Raw genomic sequence first — 10,110 nt, 5'->3', positions numbered from 1 at the left:
GCCCTTAAAAGGGACAGAAATTGTGCACTCAACAAGCTCGAATTTTGAGACGTTAGTCTGCCAATGCTTCCAGCTGATTAAAGCCACTTCCTTTACTACCTCGGTGTCTGTGGGGTTTTGTCTGCGGCTCATCCTGCTACATTCTCTAAGCGGGAGGCATCCTTGTTGCTGCTTTTGCTATTTTTGATGACATTAATCAAATCTGAAGGGGTCAACCAGGCAGTGCTGCCTGGCTCTAAAACCTGTGGGAAGGTGCACTCTCAATCCTCTTGCTAGGGCCAAGCCCTCCCCTCTCTCACTGACCATTGGGCCCATGGGGGTACCCCATGGCTACACTTGCTTATGGGTTAGGACAAGCATGAAGTTTTGTGAAATCACAGAAGGTTCTTCAGGGCCATAGCGGGATGAGGTCACAGAGGGACAAGAGTGGAAGTCATTGACCTCTCTGTCCAGAAGTGAAAAACTTCTGTAAAGGACCTCTGATACTGAATTTTTAAAACGGCAACACTATTCGTGGTTTCTTAGGAAAAGGCTGGAGGAAACAAATGTCCAAATACTGTATGCAAAAATGTCCTAGGATAATGGGCTGAATGGGACACTTCTGGCTACAACTTCTGTTGCCTGGTGTTGGTCTTCAAGACTGCTGTGAATTTCAGTCAATATGTGTTCAAAGTCTCCCCAGAGGACTTTTCCAGAGGGAAAATTAATATGCTTACTTGGGAAAAAGGAATTTGTAATTTTTATTTCCCTTCTTGTTCAACTGGTGAGAAACTCAGATTAAGAAGCTTTACTTGACAGATTATCTTTGATGTAATGGTTACTTTATCATCTGGTGACCATTCAATGGGTGCCTTCTGGCTAGAGTTCATGGTTTGGAATCATATTTTCTTAGCTTGGAGTTTTATAATAGAAGACTAAAGGAAACATGAAAACAGAAAACAAACACTTCTAAAAGATAATTCTGAAGGAGATAAGAAGCGGGGATGAGGCCAGTACCATGGGGAAGGCGGCAGTTTGGAACTGGCTAAGGCAGAGACACAGCAGGAGGCAAAGAAGCAGGAAGCACTCATGGGAGGAGGAGACAGGACTGTGTTTCACCTCCCAGAACAGACTGAGTATGGTGACGCTCAGCAGATGTGTTCAATGAGCTTGAGGAATTGGGATCAGATTGAGTTGGCAGAGAATACATTCTATGACTTTATATTTTGCACTTATGAGGGGCTGAATTATGTCTCCCTGCCAAGCCAAATTCATATGTTGGAGTCCCAACCCCCCAGGACCTCACAATGTGACTGTGTGTTTGTAGATGGGGTCTTTAAATGTGTGACTAGGTAAAAATGAGGTCACATGGCAGGCCCTAACCCCATAGGGCTGTGCCCTTGTAAGAAGAGATGAGGACACAGACACACATGAGGGAAGACCACATGAGAACACAGGGAGAAGATGGCATCTACAAAGCCAGGAGCGAGGCCTCGGCAGAAAACGCCCCAGCCGCCCCTTGATCTTGGACTTCCGGTCTCCAGAACAGGGAGAGAATAAATGTCTGTGGTTTAAGCCCCCAGTCTGTGGTGCTTTGTATGGCAGCCCTGACTGACTAAGACAGTGATATAAATTCATTCATTATCCTTGAGAGTGATCAACTTTGGGCCTGGGGAATGGTAACCAGGTTATAAAAGATTAATCCTCATCTCATGTTTTTTATTGAGATGAGAAGCTGGGTAACAGCATCTGCTTCCTGGATATTTTCTTATCTCCTCTCTCCTTTAATCAAATAGTACACTCTTGGCACGTTTTACATCGTTCAGTTTCTTACAAGGCTCCCAGTCTAGACCTGGTTCCAGCATTGGCTTGGAAGCTCCAGGGGACAGGCTGTGGAATCAGCCCAGATGCCTCTGCAGCTGCTGAGGTTCTAGAAACTCCTCAGGCCTCAGCTGTCCACGGTCTCAGGGAGTTCTGGGGCTTTCTTGACCGCACATCTTCACTCTCCCACCTTGCCCGTTCTGGGCTTGGTACCACGGTGCTGCTCCTGGGGAGTAACTGGGGACTAAGAATCTCTCTCAGGCTCCCGGCCTGAGACTGCAGCCGTCTGCCCTGCTCCTGGTCAGACTGCAACCCAGACTGCAAGCAAGGGTGGATGGGTGTTTGGGTACTCAGTCCCTTCCAGGGAGCACAGAGATCAGACCCATGATATCTTGGTCGTAACAACATGGTTTCAGCGGCTCAGCACCAGCCCCCTCCACTTGGCAAAGAACTGGAATGTCATGGGAAAGAAGCCCACCTTGAAGAGCTCTGGGAGTCTCAGTGCCCAGTGGGGTGGGGGTCTCTTGTGGGGGTACACAAAGTGGGGGGATGGGAAGCCAGTGGGAGGCAAGAGACACTTACAACTGGGGGCTTCGGACCTTCTGTGAACATGAGCCATCTGGGGACATTTCAAGATCTGGGGCAGGAGGCTGGGCGGGCGCAGGAATAACACTGACTAGCAGCCTCCCTAGGGGACTCCCCTGAGAAGCACCGCCTCAGCCAGTCCACTTTTGCACAATCTCTTCTCCAGGCAGGGGCTTCATAACCACTCTTGCCTTGTTCCATGAGGATACATCTCTGTGATTTAAGGATAGTACCATGTATAAAATAGACACTGAATTTAAATGAAAAAATACAGAAGATAATAAGAATGCAGTTTATGTTAGCATGTGTGCCAAAATTCTTGTCCTGCCTTGGCTACAGCCACATTCAAGCCCTAGCTTTCACATGAAAGAGACAAACAGACATATAAAAATAAATAATAAAAATAAATTTTGAGAAAATAATAAGAGAAATAATCATGAACAGAAATAATAAAGGAAGTAATCATTAAAGCAAAAGTGCTATCAGAATTGAGTAGAAAAAAATAGACTAAAATAAATGATGAAAAGGAGGAACAGTTAAAATACAAAATTTAAAAACCAATGCACTAAATAAACGTCTCCACAAAAGCAGGGAAAGATGACTCAAGCTAGTGAGACAGAAAATTGGCCTAGAAACAAATCATAAAAGAAATGAAATTCTAGGACAGAGGACAGAGAAAAATACCCATGGAGCTGAGAAAGAGCTAAATGAATATAAGGGTTATAAACAAAGGCTCATAACTATGAAGACACTGCTTGTCATGAATAGATAGTTAAAAAATGGAAAAAATGAAAGCAGTAAACTTGGAGATTAGCAAGATGGATGGAAAGAGGGAAAGTGATTAAAGACAGCATAAGTCAGAACCCCAGAATATATGAAAGCATGGCAGCGTTGCAACGGTTTGAGTGTATTTAAAGCAGAATAAATACATCCTCAAATATCTGGAAACAAAACCAAACAAATTGAAAGAAAAAGTCCCCAAGTTGAAAGCCTGCAACTAGAGGGTGTCCTCAGCTGGATCCTTGAGTCAGGACAGCCGGACGGAGCCAGCACAGAGTCTGAGCCAGCCTGGACTCCAAGCTCCACCTGGCACCTGCAGACTAGATGGCTTCCCAGTCATGCTTGCGACTGTCAGAGGGAGCCATCTTAAGTAGAAAAACACTTGCAACCTCATTTTTCTCTGTCCTCTTAGCACAGGGACTATGGTTAATTTTGAACCAACTTGGCCAGGCCATGGTGCCTAGTTGTTTGCTCAAGTACTAGTCTAGATATTGCTATGCAGATTTTCTTTAGAGGTGATTCAATTTCAATCAGTAGACTTTGAGTAAAGAAGATGACCCTTTGTAATGTGGGTGGGCCTCATTCAATCAGATGAAGACCTTGAGAACAAAAATGGAGGTTTTCCGAAGAAGAAGCAATTCTGCTTCAAGATTACAAGATAAAATCCCTGCCTGCTGGGTCTCCTCTGCAGATTTCAGATTCAAGGCTTTTACCTGAATTTTTAGCCTGCTGGCCTGCCCTAAGGATTTCAGACTTGCCAGCTGTCAAAACTTTGTAAGCCAATTCCTTAAAGTAAATCAATCTCTCTCTCTCTCTCTCTCTGTCTGTCTGTCTGTCTTCTTATCTGGAAATGTGGCCATAGAGCTTTAGGAGGTGCCAAGGCCCCATCACTCCTGGTGGGTGCAGCTGGGTGGTGAGTCTGGGGTCCCAGGCAGTGAGACCCTGTGTTGGTCAGCAACTCCTGACCAGTGTGGAGGCCCGAGTATACATCCTGATTCAGGACCTATGAGCTTACGAATCCTCCTTGTCTGAGCTGCCCTTTTCTTATCTATAAAATGGGGAAGAAAACATTCCTGGCTTCGAGGGAATTTGTCAGGATTATCAAGACTATGCCTGATACATGTGCTGGATGCCTAAAAGGCACTCAGTGGAAGGTGCTGTGTCTTGTAGTTGTGGGTTCTTTTCCCAGCACAGCGTAATGAGATGAAATCACGGAAAGTTCAAGTAGCAGGGCATGCCAACTCAAGGTGTATATTAATTTGTGTTCTTTGAGAAGAAGCCCATTGGCCATTCTTGGTGACATAAGAGATTACTATTGCATTTCTTGCCCTCAGGAGTAATCCCAGTGGGGAGGTCTCCATTTTTCAGGGCTATAGGACCCTTCGTGGAATCAAGAAAAATCGACTTAGGGGAAACTTTGGTGGTTTTCAAGTAAGATGTGGTGTAGCCAGACAATTCAAAGGTGTTGGGTTCCCCTGGATGGGATAGGAAATGGGGTGTTGGGTTCCACACGTTCTGGAAGATGACCTCACACTCGTGGACAGATCCCAGAGAATGCCTGTAGTGTCTATCACAAGCAGAGGGACTCTGGGAGTAGAAGGAATACATCCAATTTGGAAAGAGATCAGTGGGTCTTCCCTCCGTCTACCCGGGGCAGCAGTGTTTGACCTAGGATGGAGGAGGACACTTGAACAAGGACACTTGGCCTTTAGAGATGCTGTGGTCACAAGAGAGAGCCCCACACTCATCCAGAATCATGTAAGCCCTGGGGTTCTAGTGCCACTCATGGAAATCACAAGAGAGACCTCACGAGTGATGGGTGCTCTTGCTAACCTTGAAAAAGAGGAGCTCAGAACTGGATTCTTTTCAAGTAACAGAGACGAGGCATCCCTGAGTGTACATCTCCTGGCCCTGGATACTGAACTTGGACTTTAAGTTCTCCTACCCCAGTTTCTCAGTAGTAGCGATTGTCAGTATAAACTCCCACACTGACCTCATGCTTGTCGATGGATGTGGGTAGAAGTGGCTTCTAAATGCACTTATCATTTTGAAGATGAGGGGACCAGGTTGGGAGTAGAATCTTGGGTGACTGTCAAGTCCTTACAAAATGTGGGAGAGTAGGGAAGGTAAACCCAAGCCAGATGCCTGGAGACGCAGCCATAGACACTAGACTGGACTCTACAGCAGCAAGCTAAACACCCTCTGGCACCAGAAGGGCTGGGCACCAGAGAACTATGAAGACACCTGGAGGAGGAAGGAAGCACAGGGGAGATTACAGGTCACCCTTGTGGACAGGTGAGAATGTGGTCAGGAGTGTGTCAGGCAGAGTTAAAGGTGGAGGCTGGAGAAGCAAAAATTGGATTCTCTGTGTTGAAGTTCTCTGTGCCATGTCAACTGGGATTTAGGAGGCTGGAATCTGCAATCCCTAACCACATGGCAAGATCTTTTTCAGAACATTTTTCTTTTATGTTACAGTGCTGCTACTAAATCAATAGAATGACTATTTAAAAATATTCCTTTTCTTTCAAGTGAATACTAAGTGAAGGCCACTCTGTAATCCAAATAAGTAAGTTGCCAAGTATGTGAAAAGCAATATTTGTCCTGAAACCAAAATCACAAATTAAAATGACAAGAAAAGAAGCGTTAGAGAAATGTTTGACACTCAGCATGCTCATGTCGGCAGAGACTGAGCCAAATAAAAATGTAAATCACTCGTGTTTGTGGTAGAGCTCCCTCAAACTCACTTGTTCTCTTCTCCACTCCTTGCTGACATATGGAAGAGTCTCCTCCCCAGACCTCATGCAGGCAGACACTGTCACGTGAGTGCCTCCAGCCACCAGGCTGTGAGCAGAGTTCTCAGGTGTCACTTCTGACTCTTATCTGCTGTGGCAGCCATGGGGCCGCATGTTGGGATTGAAACCAAAAGTGAATTCTAAGTTCCCCAACCAACAGAATGGACCCCTTGTCCCAGGCAAAGAGATTTTGAAGAAACCTGAAAAACTAGTTCAGGCCATGATGGGCAGGGTGGTCAGGCATGCCTCATTATACTCTCCTCTTTTTGGAATTCAAGCACAACTGACCAACGTTAACATTGAAACAGAGATCTTAAGACTGACAAAGGAGACTCTTCGCAGCAATAAGATACCAACATGACAGATAGCAGGACCTGAAAGAAATCAAATATTTTACCCCAAAATATGTTTCTTTAACATATTTTAAAATGGCCCTGCAAAGCTGTCTCTTGTGGGGGAAATTTACATTTTATAATCCTGAAGAAATTAGCTGAGAGTCTAGTATCCTTAAGGGTCTGAATGACAACCATTTGCCATCTATTGCCTCTGAGGACAGCCACCTATGAGGCTTCATCTGCATAATAAGAACCTTGGTCTCCACAGGCTTTATCTTAACTCAGGAGCTCCATTCTATTGGTTCCAGATCCTTAGATAATAACTTAACTCTTTCAACCAACTGCCAATCAGAAAAATCTTTGAATCCACCTGTGACCTGTAAGCCTCCGCTTTGAGCTTTCCTGCTTTTCCAGACAGAACCAATATATACCTTACATATATTAATTGATGTCTTATGTCTCCCTAAAACATGTAAAAACCAAGCTGTAACCCAGCCACATTGGGCATGCTCTCAAAACCTCTTGAGACCGTGCCTCAGGCCATAGTCACTCCTATTTGGCTCAGAATAAGCCTCTTTATTTTACAGAGTTGGAACGACAAATGTATACTTTGGAAGTTGCCTGGGTCTTCCAGGCACTGCTTGAACAGTGGCAGCGCTGTGCCATCAGGACACTCCTCTGCTTTAATTGGAAGTGGATAAGTGAATTTCTGTTGTGCAAAGCCAAAGGGATATTGGGGCTTCTTTGTTATCAAGCATAAACTAGTGTACCCTGACTAATGCAGTTTGACGAAATGTCAGGGATTTGTATCATCATCACTATTAACTACTTAATTGAAAGTCATTCTGTTTGTACTCCTTATGTACTGCCTCTTCTTTATTAAATAGACTCCTTAGCAAGACATTCAGGGTACTTTGCACTTTGTTCCCAACCTACTTATCTTTTGTCACTCCCAATGCTAACACTCCCTGATCGGCTCTGCTATGCACCTCCTCTCTACACATGCATTCTACTTGTCATTCTTTGGATACCATCTCTGTTTTTTTTCTTCCCTCCATGCCTTTACTCCATGCCTGGTTCTTAGAATGGTGTCTGTAAATGCTACATGATCTACTCTGTTTACAGAAAAAATACTTCACCTTCAAGGCCAAGTATAAATATCTGTCCTTCTTTGAAGATCTCCACCACTCTCAGGATCAGTTCCTCAACTCTCAGTGCTCTCTAAGCTGTTGAGTTACAAGTCCATCCTGGGACTGATCCTACTCCATGATAGTTGGTTAATAACCGATTTCTCTTTTTCAATCTACAGTGGTCATTGCAATAAAATAGGGATGTCAATAAGTGTAGCCTGTACCTGACCCATGAGGCATTTAATGAGGGTTAGGTTTGAAGATTTTCTTTTCTTAAATTTTTAATTTTTGGTAAGCTACAGAAAAATGATAGTCATGGTTGTTATCATTAGTTTTAGACCTCCTTTCTACCCTCAAAGATTGCAAGTCAGATCTGGGAGTTAAGGCTGAGTTAATTACAAGGTTTAGTTGAACAACCGTGAGCAAGTTAGTTCCTATGAATTTCAGTATGTTAATCCACAAAATAAGGAAAATAATAGCAACCTCAGTGTATTATTGCAAAGGTTAAGTGTGCCAGTCTGGTACCTGGCACATACATTTATTAAATGGTTGTTATGATTAACATATTTGACCATGATATTAAATAGGGCTTACTGATTTTTCAGCCCTGAGAAGTCCTAGTTCAGGTTTCTTTCCAGCTAGTGAGAGCCTGTCTGGTGTGAACCTAGTCCAGAGGTATGAAGAAGGGACCTCAAATGCTGAGGGTGAAGGAACCCTGCTGGGTCAGAGCAGGTGGAGACCTCTCAGAGTGACAGGCCCCTAACCCATGATGTCAGCAACTGGGATGACAAATTAAGTATTCCTCTTAGTGCCACTGAAATTCTGGACTGCCGGCTTGTTCCTGGAACAATGTATTGAGTTAAGAAGTCAGAGCTCTCTCCTCTGGCTCTGTCCTCCAGGCTGACTGTACGGCACTGAGCAGGGGCAATGACTGTTCTTCCTTTCCAACAAGAGGCTCCCCATCTGGGTGATCTGTCTCTGCATGCACTGGGTGGGAATAGTTGAGAGAGAAGAAGGGCCTTTTCCTTTCCTCCAGCCTTCCAGAATGTGGTTAGACATCAGTCTAATGCTAACATCAGTAAGGAGACTGATTCTCCCTCTCAGATCACTTCCTCATATAATGAGATGGGAGGTTTGCCAGCCGGGAGCAGCTATCGCCCTGCAGTCGGCAGCTTTACTCTTAAGAGTACATCCTACCTGGAGCCATGGAAAAGCTCTTGCAGGGGAGCCAGGGAGGGCTGCTGCATTCTACATGGATTTTAGCCTTACCTGGGACTTATTAATAGCCTTACTCAGTCATTTACTAGCCCTGTGATCTTAAACTCTCTTCACTCTAGTTTCCTTAATTGTAATGTGAAGATAATGCCACCTATTTTGCATGGTAGACATAAAAATCCAACCAAATCATTTAGAACATGCCTCATGCATGCCTGGAGTGTTGGAGAGGCTGGAAGCCTCACAGTTATCTGATCATGCTACCATCTTCTCCTGAGGACCATGTGGGTGGTCCCACATGCAGCCAGTGGCTGACATGAAGCTGCTTCTCTCTTCTCCCTCAAGGTGGACAACATGGGATGGAGCATTTCATCCAACCTTTCTCTTATCCTGAAGTCATTCCTTATTCATGATTAAAGGCTAATTAAGGCACCACATTGTGTTATAGTCGATTACAAACTCAACTTGTGCCATTGCTCTTCCACTCCCCATTAGTGTTCCCAAGCTCAGAAAGAACAATAAAATTTACCATCATCAGGATTTCCAACTCCATCTGTCCTCTGTGATGGTTGGTTTTATGTGCCACCTTGTCTAGGCTATGATCTCCAGTTGTTTTAACACCTGTCTAGATGTTGCTGTGAAGGTATTTTTTAGAGGAGATTAAGATTTTAATCAGTAGACTTTGAGTAAAGCTGATGACCTTCCATAATGTGGTGGACCTCATCCAATCAGTCGAAGGCCGTAAGAGAAAAGGCTGTGGTACCCCAGGAAGAGGAATGTTGTCTCCAGACTACAACATAAAAATCTTGCCTGAGTTTCCAGCCTGTTGCTCTGCAGAATTTAGACTCAAGACTGCAACATCAACTCTTGGTGAATTTCCAGCCTGCTGGCCTGCTCTATAAACTTGACTTGCCAGATCCATATTGTGGAAGCCAGTTCCTCTCTCTCTATGCACACACACACGTGCACACACACACACACACACACTCCCTCTTTCTGTCACACACATGCACACACACACATCCTATTGGCTGTCTTCCTCTGGAGAACCCTGCCTAACACACCCTCTCTGCCTTATGCTTTGTCTTGTAGCCACCATTTACTGCTTCCTTCCCACAATATCTTTTTTCATAAAAAAGTCGTCATTTCAGAGGCTGGCTGTGGTGGTGGCTCACGCCTGTAATCTCAGCACTTTGGGAGGCTGAGGCCAGTGGATCACGAGGTCAGGGAATCGAGATCATCCTGGCTAACACGGTGAAACCCTGTCTCTACTAAAAATACAAAAAATTAGCCAGACATGGTGGCGGGCGCCTGTAGTCCCAGCTACTTGGGATGCTGAGGCAGAATAATGGCGTGAACCCGGGAGGTGGAGCTTGCCGTGAGCTGAGATTGTACCACTGCACTCCAGCCTGGGCAACAGAGCGAGACACCGTCTCAAAAAAAAAAAAAAAAAAAAAAAAAAAAAGGCGTCAT

At 44.7% G+C, this 10,110-nt stretch overlaps 1 annotated feature.

The window, feature by feature from the left end:
• Positions 5,908-6,057: an enhancer, noted in NCBI's record as "active region_25975". NCBI's record gives its function as "activates an Ori minimal core promoter by ATAC-STARR-seq in GM12878 lymphoblastoid cells {active_cell/tissue: GM12878}" and the evidence as "EXISTENCE:reporter gene assay evidence [ECO:0000049][PMID:35858748]".

The sequence above is a fragment of the Homo sapiens genome, chromosome 7 (assembly GCF_000001405.40).
Source record: "Homo sapiens chromosome 7, GRCh38.p14 Primary Assembly".
Classification (NCBI taxonomy): domain Eukaryota; kingdom Metazoa; phylum Chordata; class Mammalia; order Primates; family Hominidae; genus Homo; species Homo sapiens.
This window is presented reverse-complemented; position numbering and strand designations above follow the sequence as displayed.